The sequence below is a fragment of the Homo sapiens genome, chromosome 7 (assembly GCF_000001405.40).
Source record: "Homo sapiens chromosome 7, GRCh38.p14 Primary Assembly".
Taxonomy (NCBI): Eukaryota; Metazoa; Chordata; class Mammalia; order Primates; family Hominidae; genus Homo; species Homo sapiens.
The window spans coordinates 36,234,536-36,255,191 of record NC_000007.14 but is presented as its reverse complement, the minus strand read 5'-3'; the positions used below and the strand labels follow the sequence as shown (position 1 = coordinate 36,255,191).

General features: G+C 44.6%; 1 protein-coding gene across 1 annotated transcript in view, besides 1 other annotated feature; it reads right to left on the bottom strand.

Moving 5' to 3' along the window:
- Positions 1 to 20,656, bottom strand: part of EEPD1 (endonuclease/exonuclease/phosphatase family domain containing 1) — a 148,285-nt gene that overhangs the window by 46,347 nt on the left and 81,282 nt on the right. The window contains exon 3 of the mRNA NM_030636.3: positions 16,156 to 16,207. Coding sequence (NP_085139.2) covers positions 16,156 to 16,207 — 52 coding nt within the window. The remainder of the gene's footprint in view (positions 1 to 16,155; positions 16,208 to 20,656) is intronic.
- Positions 8,496 to 8,998: an enhancer, noted in NCBI's record as "H3K4me1 hESC enhancer chr7:36285803-36286305 (GRCh37/hg19 assembly coordinates)". NCBI's record gives its function as "activates a minimal SCP1, AML or CMV promoter by ChIP-STARR-seq in primed H9 embryonic stem cells {active_cell/tissue: H9 hESC(primed)}" and the evidence as "EXISTENCE:reporter gene assay evidence [ECO:0000049][PMID:30033119]".

Here is a 20,656-nt window from a genome sequence, read left to right as displayed (position 1 = left end):
AACACCAAAAGCAATGATAACAAAAGCCAAAATTGACAAACGGGATCTAATTAAACTAAAGAGCTTCTGCACAGCAAAAGAAACTATCATCAGAGTGAACAGGCAACCTACAGAATGGGAGAACATTTTTGCAATCTATCCGTCTGACAAAGGGCTAATATCCAGAATCTACAAGAAACTTAAGCAAATTTAAAAGAAATAAACAAACAACCCCATCAAAAAGTGGGCACAGGATATGAAAAGACACTTCTCAAAAGAAGACATTTATGCGGCCAAAAAACATATGAAAAAAAGCTCATCATCACTGGTCATTAGAGAAATGCAAATCAAAACCACAATGAGATACCATCTCACGCCAGTTAGAATGGCGATCATTAAAAAGTCAGGAAACAACAGATGCTGGAGAGGATGTGGAGAAATAGCAATGCTTTTACACTGTTGATGGGAGCGTAAACTAGTTAAACCATTGTGGAAGACAGAAGACATTATGTGGTGATTCCTCAAGGATCTAGAACCAGAAATACCATTTGACCCAGTAATTCCATTACTGGGTATATACCCAAAGGATTATAAACCATTCTACTATAAAGACACATGCACACGTATATTTATTGCAGCACTATTCACAATAACAAAGACTTGGAACCAACCCAAATGCCCATCAATGATAGACTGGACAAAGAAAACGTGGCACATATATACCATGGAATACTATGCAGCCATAAAAAGGATGAGTTCATGTCCTTTGCAGGGACATGGATGAAGCTGGAAACCATCATTCTCAGAAAACTAACACAGGAACAGAAAACAAAACACTGCATGTTTTCACTCGTAAGTGGGAGTTGAAGAATGAGAACACATGGACGCAGGGAGGGGAACATCACATACTGGGGCCTGTCAGGGAGTCGGGGGCTAGGGGAAGGATAGCATTAAGAGAAATACCTAATGTAGATGATGGGTTGATGGGTACACAAACCACCATGGCACATGTATACCTATGTAACAAACCTGCTTGTTCTGCACACGTACCTCAGAACTTAAAGTATAATAAAAAAGATACATATGGTAAATCCTAGCTCAATCACTAAGAAAATAACTCAAGAAAGTATAGTTAAAAATTATTAAAATAATTTAAATGCCATATTAGAAAATATTCACTTAATGCAAAAGAAAGTAATGAGGAACAGAGGAACAAAAAAAGACATAAGACACAGAAAACAAGAGATAAAATGGCAGACATAAATTCAACTACAGCAATAATAGCATTAAATGTGAATGGACTAAACAATCCAATAAAAAGGTAGAGACTAAAAGTGGATTAAAACCAAGGTCCAACTATATGCTGTATACAGGAGACACATTTAAGATGCAAAGATATACGTAACTGAATGTAATAGGATGGAAAAAGATATATCATGCAAATAGCAACTGTAAGAAAGCTGAATTGACAACATAAGAAAAATAGACTTTAAAAAAATCTGTTACTAGAGGTGAAGAGGAACATCCTATCATAATAAAAGAGTCAATCAATTAAAAAACCAAGCCATTATAAATATATGTGTAGCTAATAACAGGACCCCAAGATACATAAAGCAAAAACTGAGAGAATTCAAGTAAAAAACAATTCAATAATAATTGGAGAGTTCAATACCCACTTTCAATAACAGAACAACCAGATAGAAGATCAACAAGGAAATAAAAGACTTGAACTACAACATAAACCATAAACCAACTAGACCTCCAGATAGTCACAGAAGACTCTACCCAACAAAAGCAGAATACACATTTTTCTGAAGTGCACATGGAACATTCTTTGGGACAGACCTTATGTTAGGCTGTCCCTAACATGCCTCAATTCATTTACAAGGATTGAAATCAAACAAAATATGTTTTCTGACCACAGTGATATGGAATGAAATTAGAAATCAATAACATGAGAAATTCACAAATTTGTGGAAATTAAATAATACACTTGTAAATAACCAACGGGTCAAGGGAGAAATCACAAGGGAAAACTAAAAATGCTCTGAGATGAATTAAAATTAAGATACAACATACTAGCTAAAGCAGTGTTTAGAGTGAAATGTATGGGGGTAGATCTTCTTTACTGATGTAAAGAAGATGTCAAATCAATAACCTAAGCTTCCACCTTAAGACACTGGGCAAAGAAGATCAAACTAAACCTAAAGGAAGGAGAAGGAGAGAAACATAAAGATGAGAGCAGAAATTAATGAAATAGAGGATAGGAAAATAAAAACCCAGAAAAACCAATGGAACCAAATGTTCTTTGAGAAGTTTAGCAAAAACTGAGAAACCTTTACCTAGACTGATCAAAAAAAAAAAAAAAAAAAAAAAAAAAAAAGGAGAGAACACTCATGCTATCACACCAGAGACCTCCACTTTCTGTCTGAGCTCTGCCTGCCCCCACAGTCTGGGGCGTACCATAAGGGGGAAAGCCAGATTGATGCAGAGCTCACCAACAGCTAGTTCCTCCTCTCAGCGGCTGAAGCTCCTCCATTTCTCCCTGTTTTGGCCACACTTTGGTACCTTCGAATACACGTGTGCATTTTCCCTGGCGCTTATATTGTTATTTGAGGGAAGGTTATTCTGATATAAGCTACTCTTGTCATTCAGAACTGGAAACTCCAGATGCTTTCCCAGAAAAAAGAGGGCATCTCAAGGAGATAGAAAGCTCACAGGAAAAGTTTTTAGCATGGCCACACTATGCTTAAACCATGGGCTAGACAAGTTCACAAAACCAGCCTATCATTTACAAGCCACCATGACAGGCCAGCAAAACTCTCTCTAGTTGATGCTAACAGAAGTCATAGCAAAACATGGAGGGGGGCGGGGCATGATTCTTCACCGCCAGAATAAACCTGGCTCTCCTGTCCACATTTAGACCCAAACAACTGCAAAAGGCAACTGCGCCCCCAAAACCTTCAGGTCTGACTGAAATGACCTTTCTGCCCTTGGTGTAGGCCCTGCCTTGGCCTCTGCCTGAGTCTGTAATCCGCATGGATATTATAAGACTTCTGTTCTTTTTTTCTATAAATCCAGAATCAATAAGAAGACTAAGAAGTAACGAAACTTTCAGAGTATGAAGAAAAATTAATTAAACAACCATCGTGAGTAAAAGATGGCAGTGGATGCAGGTTCCCCAAGCAGCTCAGCTGACCTAGATAAGCTAAGCTCCGAGCAGGATTGATTTCCTTTTCTCACTCCTGAATTCATATCACTGCGTCTAAGTGGCTGCAAAATTAAAATATATATTTCAACATAAAATCAATGTTTTCATTATAAAAATCAAATAACTGTACAGAAATTACCAAAAAATCATTGCATATATGTAATTTTAAATTCTACATAAAATTATTTCATAATACTTTTTAATACTAGAAAGCAAAAAACTTTTGAAAACTAAAATGCTTTGGGTTAGGTTAGAAGTTGGGGAAGGTGAGCTATGATTTGTTAGATGAACTGGGACAGGGGCCAGGTTCCTAAGAGTTAAGGAGAGTCGAGGAGGGATGAAGGTTGGCTGTGTAGGATGAGAATTTACCTTTAAGAAAACTACCAGTAGGGGGCCAGGCACAGTGGCTCATGCCTGTAATCCCAGCACTCTGGGAGGCCAAGGCGGGTGGATCACCTGAGGTTGGGAGTTCAAGACCAGCCTGACCAACATGGAGAAACTCCGTCTCTACTAAAAATACAAAATTAGGCAGGCAAGATGGTGCATGCCTGTAATCCCAGCTACTCGGGAGGCTGAGGCAGGAGAATTGCTTGAACCCGGGAGGCGGAGGTTGTGGTGAGCCGAGATTGTGCCATTGCACTCCAGACTTGGGAACAAAAGCAAGACTCCATCTCAGAAAGAAAGAAAGAAAGAAAGAAAGAAACCTACCAGTAGAGGAAAGAAGAGAAATAGGACAGTGGCAAAAATGACGGGAAGGCAAATGCCAGCACAATTGGAGGTTTAGGAAGACCTACATTTGTCTGAAGTTATAGAGGAAGGAAATGGCTCTAGAAAGAAGAGGATTAAGAATGGGAGCATAGATGTCTATAAACCAGATAATTCCTTTAGAATAACCCATATGGGGTCAAACCATAAGCCAAAGAAACAGAATGGATGGGATGTTGTTTCTGTGCCAGTGGGACATGATATTGTCTAAAATCTGACTGGACTCTAACCACATAAATGGCCCCCCTGTTGACTGGGCACTAAACCCCACTGGTAAGGGTTGATTCATTTCCTCACTAGGCTCATCTCATTTGGTAGATGAGAGAAGCTATTTCAACATTTTGGGGGTAAAGAAATGAATCCTACCTCCACTAGTGTCAAGAAGTATGAACCTGAGGGCTCCATGGAGAAGCTTCAACAGTGCTGGGACCTCCTGAATGTGGAAACTCAATGAGTACCTCTATATGTGGAGAGGTACATATACGCATCTTTCTGGGATGAGGGCATGAAGCTTTCATCTGATATTTAAAGGGGTCAATAGCCAAGCACCACTGATCTAGAACGAGAGCTGGCAAACTCTAACTCTATAAAAGGCCAAATAAGATACATTTTGGACTTTATGGGCTATACTGTCTCTGTCACAACAACTTAACCTGTCGTTATAGTGTAAAAGCAGCCACAGACAATAAGTTGAATGGGTACATTTGTGTTCCAATAAAACTTTATAAAAACAAGCTATGGGCCAGATTTCACCTGCAGACTGGCCATAGGTTGTTCTGATCTAGAAGGGCCTCCTGTGCAGGATTCTGGGCCACTCAGGGCAGCTCCATCTCCATGCACCATCCACCCTTCTAGCCTTGTGCACCTCCATCCCTCTAGTCCCTTCCTCCTGCTCCTCCAGTCACAGCTGCCAAGTGGATCTTAAAAAGTTCAGTCCAGGAATATTAAATTGATTTTAAAAACTGAAAATGGAAAAAAAGTTATGTAATTAGTATTTTTAATTTTTTTTTCTTTTGAGGCAGGGTCTTGCTCTGTCACCCAGACTGGAGTGCAGTGGTGCAATCATGGCTCACTGCAGCCTTGGCCTCCCAGGCTCAAGTGATCCTCCCACCTCAGCCTCCTGAGTAGCGGGGACTACAAATGTATGCTACCATGCTCAGCTAACTTTTAAAAACTTTTTTGTAGAGACAGGGTTTCACTATGTTGCCCAGGCTGGTCTCCAACTCCTGGGCTCAAGTGATCCTCCTGCCTCAGCCTCCCAAAGTGTTGGGATTACAGGTGTGAGCCACTGTGCCTGGCCTTAAATATTTTTTTGATATCATAAGAACATTAGGTGAGGACCTCCCTCTTGACAACCTGTTTTTTTTAAAGCACTTATTGCTACTGTATTTAAATAAACATTTGTGTCACTGCTAAGGTTTTTCTCTTAAGTTACAATGCGAGCTACAGGAGATACGAAAGGGAAAGGTCTTGTCCACAGCTGTAGGCATGTTCCAGCCTTGAATAAGCCCTGACAAAAGGAGGTACTCAATACACACTGGTTCAAAGAATAAATACATGTTTTACAGAGTTGTAACCGCAGTAGGTACAGCGGCTTATTCTCCCTCATAGCAAATATTATACCACAATTCTATGAGGCTAAAAGATCTTATCATTTTTGATGGATATATACTAGGCCCTTGGGTAGACCTACCACGGATTTTTTTAACCTCTCCCTTCCTACATAGCACTGAACTGCCTCCCACTTATTCATAGTTATAAAGCATGCCATAGCGTGTTTATTATTTCTCCATTTTTATCGATCATTTCCTTAAGATACAGTCCCAGGAACCGGATCACAGGTCAAAGGATGGGGACATCACAAACACTAATGAAATGCTCTGCCCAAGAACTTGGAAAAGGCCAGCACCATGTCACCTGCCCTCCCCAGCAGTGGCCGGGGGCACTGATTTCAACACAACTTCACCATTACACATCATGCTTTAAAACTTCACTAATGCAATAAATTTAAAATGAACCCTCATGGTTTAATTTGCTTATCTTTGATAGCTGAGGGAACGAAAGACAGTTTAAAAGTCCTGTTTGGGGACTCTGTTTTTTTGCTCACTTAGAAGAAAAGCTTTTCATAAAAAGAAAAAGGTAGTGAGAGCCCCTGAATATACCTGATATCTTGTGATGATTTTCAAAGAATAAGGAGAAAATGTGTGTGTGTGTGTGTGTGTGTGTGTGTGTGTGTGTGTGTTTAATGAACCACAGAGCCTAGCCCATAATTAACTAAAATGCCCACTTTCCGGCAGCGAGGTCCTGGGTGGACCCTGAGCACTGAGTTTGTGAAGTGGAGCTAGTGGCAGCTGTGGTGGCTGCAGTGAGCCTGAGTTAGACTCCATACAGCGGAGTCTGGGCTCCACAATGGTACCCACCCCCAATCTGCTCACCAGCTCTTTCAAGGAGAAGTTGCCATCTTCCTGCTGATAGAAACTTAGCCAGGAAAGTGATTACAATGAGTTTACTCATGATTAGCCACTGATCTTGCTCAACCCAATGCAAATTTATACAAATATATGAATATTGATCACTCAAGGTGGTATTCAAATTCAGCTCTGACTACATGAAGGGCTAAGTGTGGCGGGGGTGGGGGAAAATAAATAAGGGATCTGAAGAATCTCATTCTGATATTTTTGAAATAACACAGTGTTTTTTTGGAAAAAAAAAAAAAAAAAAAGAGTATCTGGCCGAGGGTGGTGGCTCATGCCTGTAATCCCAGCACTTTGGGAGGCCGAGGTGGGCAGATTACTTGAGGCCAGGAGTTTGAGACCAGCCTGGGAAATGCAGTGAAACCAACTCTCTACTAAAAATAGAAAAAATTAGCTGGGTGTGGTGGTGCAAGCCTGTAATTCCAGCTAGTCGGGAGGCTGAGGGGGGTAAAATCGCTTGAGCTCAGGAGGTGGAGGTTGCAATGAGCTGAGATTGCACCACTGCACTCCAGCCTGGGGGACAGAGTGAGACTCTGTCTCAAAAAAAAAAAAAGTATCTTAAAGTATATATATTTTTATAAGTTAAGATTCTTGAAGTAATTCATTTGGACACCAAGCCCAAATGAAAGGTGTGTCCAGTCCACGTCCTCCAACCTCTCACGTGTCCTCATGGCTCCCATAACCTGCTAGGTGGATGGTCTCTAGGCAGCCCTCACACCCTGTGTGTTCCTTCACTTTTAGGTGCTCCTTTGACATTGTCCACATCTGGAACCCAGAACCTCCTTCTGCGTCCTCTATCCCCCATCCCACATTCTCTGCCTCTCCTGCTGGAGGAGGCTAACACCAACTGTGCAAGTCTGTTTTGCTACAAGTCACACTATGAGAAGATCTGGGCATTGGTTCCCCATCACCTGGGCCAGGACTGATCCTATGGACCTGCTCCCACTCCTGGGAAATGCGGAGATAGGATCGTCCAGTATGCCTGCTAAGGCTGATGTTCAGATTAAATGAGATCACAGAAGATGGGCAGCTGGTTGCACTTAAAGGAGCTGGGAAATGGAGCCCAGTCTGCTGTGATGGGTCCTGGATTACCAACACACCTGCTGTGGACCTGGGGCAGAGGGCACTTCAACTCCCTTGGCCTCAATGTCCTGTCTGCAAAATGACAGGGTTGGATTAGATGGTTTTAAAAGTCTCCCTTGATTCTGAAGTTCTGGGATTCTATGCCATTCAAATGTAAATGTATCTTTATAATCACATGTATCTTTATAACTTTATCCCCGTTGGTAAACAGTATAATTTTGGCACTGAGCAAGCACTCAATTGTTGCAGAAACTAAGTTAATTGCAAGTCCAAATCATAGTGAATAACACTCCAAAAGCACGTAATAAGAGAGGTAGTGTTTATGGATGTACATGTGTGTATATTCAGAAAACACCCTCACCAATTACAGACACAAGCACTTTGCATCCTTAGGTTATTCACACACATCTATGTGAAAATGGCTTATCATCCTCTTTCCTTCTGAAAATTCCCAGGAAGCTATCATTCTAACGTTGCCCACCACTAGGGTTTGCCTGGAAACTCCCTGACTAATCTGTCAAGTTCAATTTTTTTCTTTTCTTTTTTTTTTTTTTTTTGAGATGGAGTCTCACTCTGTCACCCAGGCTGTAGTGCAATGGTGCGATCTCAGCTCACTGCAACCTCTGCCTCCCAGGATCAAGCAATTCTGCCTCAGCCTCCCGAGTAGCTGGAATTACAGGTGTGTGCCACCACGCCTGGCTAATTTTTGTATTTTTGGTAGAGATGGGGTTTCACCATATCGGCCAGGCTGGTCTCGAACTCCTGACCTCAGGCGATCCACCCGCCTTGGCCTCCCAAAGTGCTGGGATTACAGGCGTGAGACACTGCGCCCAGCCCAAGTTCAATTTTTCTAGTCCCAAGCTTGCTGATGAAATGCACATACTCTGTCACACATGTAAAGCACTCTAAGACATCTTAGAGGTCTGCTCCATCTTCAGGAAAACTAGAATAGGAGTTGGGCTCCAAAGCTGAAATTCTAAAAAAAAAACACCTATCAGCAGGGAGGACTGACAGGCATCTTTTCCTAGACAATTTGGCAAAAGGAGCAGTGGGGATGCAACTTCTTTCACATCTTTTAATGGCAACAGATCGATCTCAAGTTGGGCTTCTCCAGAGAGAAGTAAGGACGAGATGCCAGTGATGATGATGATGACGACCACAGCAGCAGCTAATTAGCAGTAGAGGGGATAGTACCAGCTACTGCCACTTTGGTGCTTACGATATACATAACGGCTTTTATTTCACACATCTCACTTAGTTCTCATAACAATATCCTAATAGGATAGGTATTATTCTGAAGCTCCATGTTAAAAAGAAACAGAGGCTAGCCAGTACCTGGCCTCCTATGTCCCCCAGCTGGCAAATGGCAGGGCTGGCTTCAACCCCCACCACTGCCCTCACAGCATGAACTCAGTGGACTTGTAATTATAACAGAGTCATGATCTGGGAGCGGCAGCACTGGCAAGGCCACCAGGTGGGTGGCCTGTGTCTCCTGAGGGCCCAGCTCACACAGGCAGCTTCTCAGGCAGGCACTGGTCTCAGGTTGGGTCAGCCAGTGGTCCGCCCTCTGGTCCTACCACGGTCCAGCTGGAATGACCGGCCAAACTATTGTTTGTGGCTTTGCAGGAAGCCATTTGAAAGGGTCATTGAAAAATGATCTTTCTAAATCAAGCTGTACCAATATTTTTATTTCCTTTTATGAAATGCCACTTTTAAAGGCTTTAGATGGGCCTGTGTTTAAAGCCTGGGAAACAAGTACCTGTGACTTAAGTTCAGAAAAACAGAAGTGTCCCACTCTCAGAGCAAAAACAACAGAGAACTGCATGACATGTATCCTTCTTACAGCAAGTTCTTGCTCTTGGGACCTAATGGATGTTTGACAAAAAAAGCACATCTAAATCCAAAACACTTTTTCAGACCAATGTCACATGCACTGACACTCACACATCTTAGATCATCTGCTCATGGTTCTAACCATTTTTCAAAAGAAGAAATTGGTTGAAGAATTTAGATTGTTAATTGTATGGTTTATAACATTTTAAAAATAAGTGACAAGTCACTTTTACTAGTCTGGGAACTGGCTCTGTGTAGCGTTAGGAGAGAAGAGAAACTCAGAAGCCTGATCCCACAAGGGGCCCCCACCTCCTACCCAATCTACTGCACCTAAATGAAGACAAAGAATAAGAGGCAAAAACTAGAACCCTACTGATTTATGCCTTGGGGGTCTCTGTGTATCTATGTACTGGGCTTGTGTTCACCATTCACCTCTTCCCAGAACACGTGATTTGATGGTAAGTAGGGCAGGTGAAACAGGAAAGCCCCCAAACACAGTAAGGACCACTGGAGCAAGGAAGTGGAGAAAATACGAGAAAACTGAGTACACAAGGGCAAAATGTCCCCCTCTTCACAATGTGATCAAGAATCAACTCTGTGGCCAGGCGCGGTAGCTCATGTCTGTAATCCCAGCACTTTGGGAGACCAAGGTGGGTGGATGACCTGAGGCCCGGAGATCAAGACCAGCCTGGCCAACATGGTGAGATCCCATCTCTAATAAAAATACAAAAAAATTAGCTGGGCATGGTGGCAGGCACCTGTAATCCCAGCTACTCAGGAGGCTGAGGCAGGAGAATTGCTTGCACCTGGGAGGTGAAGGTTGCAGTGAGCCGAGATCATACTACTGCACTCTAGCTTGGGCAACAGAGCGAGACTCCATCTCAAAAAAAACAACAAAAAAAAAACATTAGCCGGGCATAATGGCAGACACCTATAATCCCAGCTACTCAGGAGGCTGAGGCAGGAGAATTGCTCGAACTCAGGATGCGGAGGTTGCAGTGAGCCGAGATCACACCATTGCACTCCAGCCTGGGCAACAGGGCAAGACTCCGTCTCCAAAAAAAAAAAAAAAAAAAAAATCAACTCTGAAAAATGAAGCCCAGGTATCGAAGAGTGGGAAGGAATCACAGAGAGCAGTTTCACAGGCTAGGAAAGGGGCTGGGGCCTTCAGGGAAGATCCTCTGCCAGACACAGCAGCTCAGCAGAGGCCACACCGGGAGGAGAACTCGGCTCTGCCAATTGGGAACCTCCTCAGAGCTGGCTCTGGGCTCTGCAGAAAACAGGAAAACCTTGGCACGTCTAAAAATGGGAAGGCTGTCTACCTAAAACCAAGTAATGTTTAGGCAAATGGCTGGTCATTTTAAGTTAAAATACTAAGATCCTAATAACAAGGCCTAATATTAGCAAGAAAAAGCACTTATTTTCTATGAGACCTTAAAAGACTACTACTTCTTTTTAGCTTTTTATATTAGGTTTTACATAATTTAAATCTTTTATTGTTCAAATTTAATCTACCAGTACTTGTGAAGGAAATGGCCCCTTTAGAATAGCTTCCATCTTAAAAGAGGAGGCCTGTGCAGGTCCCCACTGTTGGGACTGTCTGGCTAGAAGCGACCAGTTCTATCATAGCAGGGTGTTGGGAGTTCAGTGATTACAAAACTCAAAGGCAGGTTGTCATTTGAAGCTCAGCTGCATGACAGTAAAAGAGGTTTGAGGTTTGCAGAATGTGTGTCTAACTAAGCCCTTTTTTGCTGGCTCTACCTATTGAATTAAGACTATTTTCTTTTTTTTTAATTATTATTATACTTTAAGTTTTAGGGTACATGTGCACAATGTGCAGGTTAGTTACATATGTATACATGTGCCATGCTGGTGTGCTGCACCCATTAACTCGTCATTTAGCATTAGGTATATCTTCTAATGCTATCCCTCCCCCCTCCCCCTACCCCACAACAGTCCCCAGAGTGTGATGTTCCCCTTCCTGTGTCCATGTGTTCTCATTGTTCAATTCCCATCTATGAGTGAGAACATGCGGTGTTTGGTTTTTTGTCCTTGCGATAGTTTACTGAGAATGATGATTTCCAATTTCATCCATGTCCCTACAAAGGACATGAACTCACATTAGGTTTTACATAATTTAAATATTTTATTGTTCAAATTTAATCCACCAGTACTTGTGAAGGAAATGGCCCCTTTAGAATAGCTTCCATCTTAAAAGAGGAGGCCTGTGCAGGTCCCCACTGTTGGGACTGTCTGGCTAGAAGCGACCAGTTCTATCACAGCAGGGTGTTGGGAGTTCAGTGATTACAAAACTCAAAGGCCGGTTGTCATTTGAAGCTCAGCTGCATGACAGTAAAAGAGGTTTGAGGTTTGCAGAATGTGTGTCTAACTAAGCCCTTTTTTGCTGGCTCTACCTATTGAATTAAGACTATTTTCTTAATCAAAGGAAGACGCAGGTGAACTAAAAATAAAAACTGGGTTCTCACAAATAGAATGACGGTGTTTACTTCTTCTCTTTTGGTGCCAAAAAAAAAAAAACCAGGCTTAATTGGCCATAAAAGTCAAATTGACAACTCATAGATTCTTTCTGACTAGTTAATAATAGCGATGGTGATAATAAACGATACTCTACAGCAGCGTTCTTGAACTTTCGAGCACATAATCACCTGGGGGCTTTTTAGAATGTAGCTCTGATTCAGGGGGTCTGAATTCAGGGAGCTGAGATTCTACGTTTCTAACAGGCTTCTAATGCTGCAGGTCTGTGGGCCACACTTCGAGTAGCGCAGTTCTATATTTGACAAATAACTTTTCTTGTTGGCTTTTTAATCAGTCCAGGTGGAAGGGAATCTGTAAGTCACGAGGCCCTTTAGGAACTCATCTTATTCCAGCATATCAACTGGACCAATCCTTTATTTTTTGAGACAGAGTTTCACTCTGTTGCCCAGGCTGGAGTGCAGTGGGGCGATCTCGGCTCACTGCAACCTCCACCTCCCGGGTTTAAGAGATTCTCCTGCCTCAGCCTCCTGATTAGCTGGGAGGCACCTGCCACCACACCTGGCTTTTTTTTTTTTTTTTTTTGTATTTTTATTAGAGACACAGTTTCGCCATGTTGGTCAGACTGGTCTCGAACTCCCGACCTCAGGTGATCCACCCACCTTGGCCTCCCAAAGTGCTGAGATTACAGGTGTAAGCCACTACGCCTGGCCTCAACTGGACCAATCTTGATGCACAAAATAGCACTATGCCAGGTAATATATCATATGTCACTCAAAATGTAACTGGCTATCAAGCTCATGATGAATGTTTGCTTCTGAACTTTTCAAGAAATGTTTGCCACTTGCCTGGCACACTGGAAGCTCAACAAATTCCTGTAGCATAAGGGAATGAATGAATGAATGAACAGAAGGAAGGAGGAGGAAACTCAGCGAATTTGGCTCCCTGCTGGCCCCTGTACACATGCAGACCATCTTGTAAAGCTTCTTACTGGTCACATTTTGAGATGGGGGGAACAATACAAAATCATCAGCAGACTCGGGGAGAGAGAATCAGGGTGGGGGAAGAGGAATAGGAAAGAACATGGGCAGCAGCTAACTCTTGGAGATCACTGAGTACCAGGCACAGTGTTGCAGTCCTTTATGTGAACTATCTAATTAGTCATCTTACAACCTCTGTGAGTTAAGAATTAGAATAGTTTCAATTTTATAAACTGGGAAACTAAGGCACGAGAAAGTAAGTAATCCAAGATAAACTAGTTAGGAAGGTGGGCTTAGGGTCTGCTCCGCCGCAGCCTCAGCATCAAAATCACATCCTCAGGGCAGCACAACTGGCTCCGCCACCAGCCACAATAAGCCCTGACCCTATTTCTCTGATAGGTTTTGAAAGTAGTTAATACTCACAGATTGGGTTAGCTCTGGGACCTCTCTAAATCAGGTGTACACACAGCTCAAAAGATATAACTGTTATTTTTGGGTTTTTTTCTGGGACAGGGTCCTACTCTCTCGCCCAGACTGGAGTGCAATGGCGCAATCTCGGCTCACCACAACCTCTGCCTCCCAGACTCAAGCGATTATCCTGCCTCAGCCTCCTGAGTAGCTGGGATTACAGGCACATGCCACTACCGCCTGGCTAAGTTTTGTATTTTTAGCAGAGACCGGGTTTCACCATGTTGGCCAGGCTGGTCTTGAACTCCTGACCTCAAATGATCCACCCGCCTCAGCCTCCCAAAGCGCTGGGATTACAGGCGTGAGCCACTGTGTCCAGTCATAACTGTTATTTTTGGCACCTGCATTTTTATTATACTGATACACCCCAGCACTAGGCTCCACATATGCTAGCTTTGTCTGATGGTTATTTATTTATTTATTTATTTATTTTGAGACAGAGTCTCGCTCTGCTGCCCAGGCTGGAGTGCAATGGTGCAATCTCAGCTCACTGCAACCTCCGCTTGCCAGGTTCAAGGAATTCTCCTGCTTCCGCCTCCTGAGTAGCTGGGACTACAGGTGCACCACCATGCCCAGCTAAATTTTTGTATTTTTAGTAGAGATGGGGTTTCACCATGCTGGCCAGGCTGGTCTTGAACTCCTGATCTCATGATCTGCCTGCCTTGGCCTCCCAAAGTGCTGGGATTATAGGTGTGAGCCACCGCACCCAGCCATCTGATGGTTTTTTTAAATTGAGAAATAAAATGAATAACCATAATGAATACTAAGATGACAATTTTTTGAGGGGGGATACTAGAAAAGTTTCAAGAACATACAAGGAACTCACATACCCCTTTACACAGAAGGATCAATTGTTTGTATTTTGCCTCATTTACTTGATGAGTTATTCTCATCTTTCTCTCTCTGGATCTGTCTGACATATATACATCACTATTTCTTTTCCTTGAATCATTTGAGAATAAGTTATAACCATGCCCCTTTATTCCTAAATACTCCTGTGTTAATTCCTAAGAACAGGGGTCCCCAGATTGTGCGCTCCTTATGAGAATCTAATGCCTGATGATCTGAGGTGGAACAGTTTCATCCTGAAACCATCCCCCCAACCCAGGTCTGCGGAAAAATTTTCTTCCAGGAAACTGGTCCCTGGTGCCAAAAAGGTTGGGAACTGCTGCCTAAGAACAAGGCCATTCTCTTACATGATCACAAGCCAATTATCAACTTCAGGAAATGTTAATGTTAATACAATACCTTCATCTCATTTACTATCCACATCCAATGTTGCCATTTGGCCCGATGATGTCTTTTATAGCCTGACCCACTATGTTTTCATGGCTGAATGCATATTAAGAATTAATATAAGTAATTAAGAATTAATAATGAGTAGAGTGCTTTGGCATTTAGAAAGCCCTTTTGCTACATTAACTCATTTGCTTCTCACTTTGCCTCTCTGAGGTCAGGCAGCAGCTCTATCCTTGGTTTACCCAAGATAGAAATGAGGTTGAGGGGACATCAAATCCAAAGCAGTGCTCAGACCTCATTCTTCCCTCACACCACTGGTTGGTGTTCATTTTAAAGACTTTATTTGTCTTAGTGCCAACCAGCAGACTGACTACTAACCCAGATATTTTATTTTGTGAGACAGGGTCTCTTGCTCTGACTTCCAGGCTGGAGTGCAGTGGCATGATCTTGGCTCACTGTAGCCTCAGCCTCCTGGGCTCACGTGATCCTCCTGCCTCAGCCTCCTGCGGAATTGGGACCGCAGGTGTGCACCACCACACCTGGCTAATTTCTTGATTTTCTGAAGAGATGAGGTCTCACTATGTTGCCCAGGCTGGTCTCAAACTCCTGGGCTCAAGCAACCCTCCAGTCTCCCAAAGTGCTGGGACTACAGGCAGAGCCACCTCACCTAGCCCCCTCAAATATTTTAAATTCCAAAAATAAACGAATATAGTTCAAGTGCTTGTCTCTCTAACCAAAAACAAATGAATATCGTTTGGGTGCTGTTGCTTCATGTTAGCAACACAGATTCTAATTATCACCTGCGGCTACACATGCAGGAAGAGTCCTGAACTCCCCAGGGTCTGAGAGCTTGGTATCAGCTGGGAGGCCCCTGATGGGCAAGTAGGGGGGCCTGGCTTCCTTGGTGCCCACCCAGCCTGTTTTGTGGAGCCCACCCCACCATGCATGCCGAACTTGAACCCACAACTGGCAAAAAATCCCCAATCCCAGGCTTGACTTGAACATAGAAAGCCGAGACACACTGGGGATCTCTTCCAGGGCACAGTGAAACGTTGGTTTGGGGGCAGAGAGGCAGTTTCTCAATCCTCAGTAGTAGCCTAAAAAGAGATAAAAACGCATGAACTTGACTACTGAATAGAGAAGTACTGGTTTTGGAAATGGAACTATTGGGATTCAAATCATCACTCCTCTACTTAGTTCATTTGCCTTAGGCAAGTTACTGGGTCTCAATTCCATCATCCCTACACCCAGATAATAACACACAGCAAGCAGAAATGCAGTGAGGTGGCCAACACAGACTCCGGCATGCGTGAGGCCTCTGGCTCCTAATGGCTGAAAGCACAGAAAGCCTCCTCCAGAGTATGGCCCCTTGCAGCACGGGCCTCTGCCTTTCACACAACCTGCACACAACCCAGAGGGAGCCAGGTACAGCCGAGTTTGTAGGTGTGAACACAATGTCAGCAAGGTAGGGGGCTCAGATTAAAATTCTGCATGATTCGCTGTCAGGAATACAAAATAACTGACCGTCTTTTCAGTAGGGGCTGTCTCTGGTGACAGGGAGTTGAATTTTTCTTATGTGTGGCCCTCCGTTCTTGGTTTGTGAATGTGGAAGGAAGAGTAAAATATTTACCTTTTCCAAGGCCTCTCTGTCAAGCAGTTCTTGCACAGCTAGAAGCTTGATGCTGTAAGAAAAAAAATCAAAACCACACTTGAAAACAAATCATTTCATGTCACCAAGGATCATCTAACAAGTCGCAAGAACAAAAGGCTGAAATTTCATCCTGCATTTCTATGTCACCTGCCATCTTAAGGTGACCTTTTATTTAAATCAAAATGACCGTTTTGAAAGTATTTAAAATGCTTCTAAATTTAAAAGTAATTTTTACCATATGATCCAGCAATTTCACTTTTAAGTATATTCCCAAAAGAATTGAAAGCAGGAACTCGAATAGGTAATTGCACACCAATGTTCATAGCAGCATTATTCACAATAGCCAAAAGGTAGAAACAACTTAAATGTTTACCACAGATGAACGAATAAGCAAAACGTAGTATATACTTTTAATGGACTATATTACTCAGCTTTAACAAAGAACATTCTGATACATGCCACGCCACAGATGAACCTTGGAGACACACTAAATGAGGTAAGCCAGTCACAAAAGACAAATACTATACGATCCCACTTATATGAGATATCTTAGAGTAGTCAAATTCACACAGACAGGAAGTAGAACTGTCAGGGGCATTTGAACCACAGCTATTCCATCTTGAATAGGGGCTGGGTAAAATAAGGCCAAGACATACTGGGCTGTATTCCCAGGAGGTTAGGCATTAAGTCACAGGGTGAGATAGGAGGTCGGCACAAGATTCAGGTCACAAAGACCTTGCTGATAAAAGAGGGTGTGGTAAAGAGGCTGACCAAAACCCACCAAAACCAAGATGGCCACAAAAGTGACCTCTGGTCACTCTCACTGCTCATTACATGTTAATTATAATGCATTAGCATGCTAAAAGACATGCCCACCAGCACCATGACAGTTTACAGGTGCCATAGCAGCGTCAGGAAGTTACCCTATATGGTCTAAAAAGGAGAGGAACCCTCAGTTCTGGGAATTGCCCACCCCTTTCCTAGAAAACTCATAAATAATCGACCCCTTATTTAGCATATAATAAAAAAACCCATAAAAATACCTAGCCATTCTTTTTTCTTTTTTTGAGACAGTCTCACTCTGTCACCCAGGCTGAAATGCAGTGGAGTGATCTTGGCTCACTGCAACCTTCACCTCCCGAGTTCAAGCCATTCTCCTGCCTCAGCCTCCCGAGTATCTGGTTTTACAGGCGTGTGCTGCTACATCTAGCTAATTTTTGTATTTTTAGTACAGACAGGGTTTCACCATGTTGGCCAGGCGGGTCTTGAACTCCCGGCTTCAAGTGATCCACCCACCTTGGCCTCCCAAAGTGCTGGGATTACAGGCGTGAGTCCACTGTGCTTGACCTCAGGCAGCCATTCTTTATTCCTTTACTTTACCAATAAACTTGCTTTCACTTTATAGACTTGCCCCAAATTCTTTTTTGCACAAGGTCCAAGAACCCTCTTTTGGGGTCTACATGGGGACCCCTTTCCGGTAACAGAATGGTGCTTACCAGGGACTGGGGGAAAAGGAGAATGGAGAGGTATTGTTTAAAAGGTATGGAATTTCACTTTGGGATAAAGAAAAAGTTCTAGAGGGCCAACGCAGTGGCTCATGCCTGTAATCCCAGCACTTTGGGAGGCCAAGGCAGGAGGACTGCTTGAGCTCAGGAGTTCAGGAGCAGCCTAGACAACATCACAATGTGTCCAGAATTGGTGGGTTCTTGGTCTTGCTGACTTCAAGAATGAAGCCGTGGAACCTCGCGGTGAGTGTTACAGTTCTTAAAGATGGTGTGTCCGGAGTTTGTTCCTTCGGATGTTTGGACGTGTTCGGAGTTTCTTCCTTATGGTGGGTTCGTGGTTTCGCTGACTTGAGGAGTGAAGCTGCAGACGTTTGCGGTGAGTGTTACAGTTCATAAAGGCGGCGCGTGTGGAGTTGTTCGTTCCTCCTGGTGGGTTGGTGGTCTCCCTGACTTCAGAAATGATACTGCAGACCTTCGCAGTGAGTGTTACAGCAGCATGGAACCAAAGAGGGAGCAGCAGTAAGATTTATTGCGAAGAGCAAAAGAACGAAGCTTCCACAGCCTGGTATGGTAGGCGAGCGGGTTGCCCCTGCTGGCTAGGGGGCCTGCTTTTATTCCCTTATCTGGCCCCACCCACATCCTGCTAATTGGTCTATTTTACAAAGAGCTGACTGGTCCATTTTACAGAGCACTGATTGATCCGTCTTGACAGAGTGCTGATTGGTGCATTTACAAACCTTTAGCTAGACACAGAGTGCTGATTGGTGTGTTTACAATCCTTTAGCTAGACAGAAAAGTTCTCCAAGTCCCCATCCAATGAGCTAGACACAGAGCGCTGATTGGTGCGTTTACAAACCTTTAGCTAGACAGGAGACAGCTAGAAAAGTTCTCCAAGTCCCCACCTCTCAGAAGCCCAGCCAGCTTCACCTCTTACTGGCACTGGCAGCGGGACTTTGTGGCACCTAGCCTGGGCACTAAGGCAGCCCAGAGGGAGCTCGTCCCAGACAATCAAGAGGAAAAGAGGGGAAACGAGAAAGAGACGGAGACCGGCTGTCGTGGCCAACAATCCCGCGAAGAGGGAACGGCGGTCCACGCACGGGATTCAGCCTCCGATCAAGCCCAGCAAGTGCCGGCCGGCGGCGCCTAGTGCGGGGCTTGCCAAGCCCGCGCTCACCTGGAACCCGTGGCCCGCCAGCGCCGCTTCCGCCCGCGCCTCTCTCTTCACACTTCCCTGCGAGCAGAGGGAGCCGGCTCCGGCCTCGCCAGCCCCAGAGAGGGGCCCTCACAGCGCAGCCGCCGGCTGAAGGGCTCCTTGAGCGCGGCCAGAGCGGACGCCGAGGCGGAGCCGAGAGTGAGCGAGGGCTGCTAGCATGTTGTCACCTCTCAACAAGACCTCATCTCTACTAAAAATACAAAAAGTTAGCCTGGTGTGGTGGTGCATGCCTGTGACCCCAGCTACTCAGGAGGATGAGGTAGGAGAATTTCTTGAGCCCGGGAGGTCGAGGCTGCAGTGAGCAGAGATCACGCCACTGCACTCCAGCCTGGGTGACAGAGCGAGACTCTGTCTCAAAAAAAAAAAAAAAGGAAAAAGTTCTAGAGACAATGTTGGTGATGATTATACAACAACGTAAGTGTACTTTATGCCATGCCACTGAACTCTACACTTAAAAAGAGTTAAAATGCTAAATTTTATTTATAAACATTTTGCCATAAAAAATTCTAAAAGTATCTGATAGCTACTTACTGTGAGGAATTTGAATACATTCAGAAGAATATAAAGAAAAACAGTCACCCAAATAGCTAAAGCCATCGCTTGCAAAGGGACCCTGCTCAGCCACTCATTTGTTTTCCAAACATTGACAGCGCCCTACTGTGTGCAGGTGACCAAGGATCCATGATTGCTATGGCATTCCCTGCCTGGAAGGCACTCACAGCCAGTCCAGAATATGATGTACTGTATGCCAAAGGGGCACACAGAGATGCAGAGGGGAGCCGGGCCCAGCCAAGGCCAGAGGATTCCTGGAGGGACCAGGTTAGCTTTGTCAGGGAAGGAAGGCTGGGAAAAAAGGCGATCACAGAGGAGGTCTATAGAGGCTCCAAGGGCAGAGATGACTAGCTGGTTTCCAGTGCAGGTGCCTGAACTGAGGCTACAGCCAGCAACCAGGGTGACAGAATTGAGAACTGCATGTAGGTTGACAGGGGAGGTATTTTCCCCTTTTTGACATGTTGCTTTTGAAGTGTTCATGGACACAATGAGCAGGTGGTCGATGCTGTGGGGGAGGCCTGGGCTGGAGGCTGTGGGGAAGGCCTGGGCTGGAGGCTGTGGGGGAAACCTGTGCTGGAGGCTGTAGGGGAGGCCTGGGCTGGAGGCTGTAGGGGAGGCCTGGGCTGGAGGCTGTGGGGAAGGCCTGGGCTGGAGGCTATGGGGAAGGCCTGGGCTTGAGGCTGTGGGGGAAACCTGTGCTGGAGGCTGTAGGGGAGGCCTGGGCTGGAGGCTGTGGGGGAAACCTGAGCTGGAGGCTGTGGGGGAGGCCTGGGCTGGAGGCTATGGGGGAGGCCTGGGCTGGAGGCCATGGGGGAGGCCTGGGCTGGAGGCTGTGGGGGAGGCCTGGGCTGGACTCAGCACACAGTAAAAGCATGAGAGCTCCAAGGGGCTGTTTAGGGAGTGGGTCAGCTATGGATGGTGTGACGACACTCCCTGCCCACCCAGAATGCTCACTGGTCATTTCCTCTCCACCTCCAGCAACCCGCACAGGTTCTACGGAATAGAAATAGGCCCACTCTGAAGCACATGCCTCCCTCCAAAGGGATTAGACAATTTATCTTTTTTTTTTTTTTTGAGACAGGGTCTCACTTTGTCACCCAGGCTGGAGTACACTGGCACCATCTTGGCTCACTGCAGCTTTGACCTCCAGGGTTCAAGTGATTCTCCTGCCTCAGCCTTCCAAGCAGCTCGGACTGCAGGCGCACGCCAC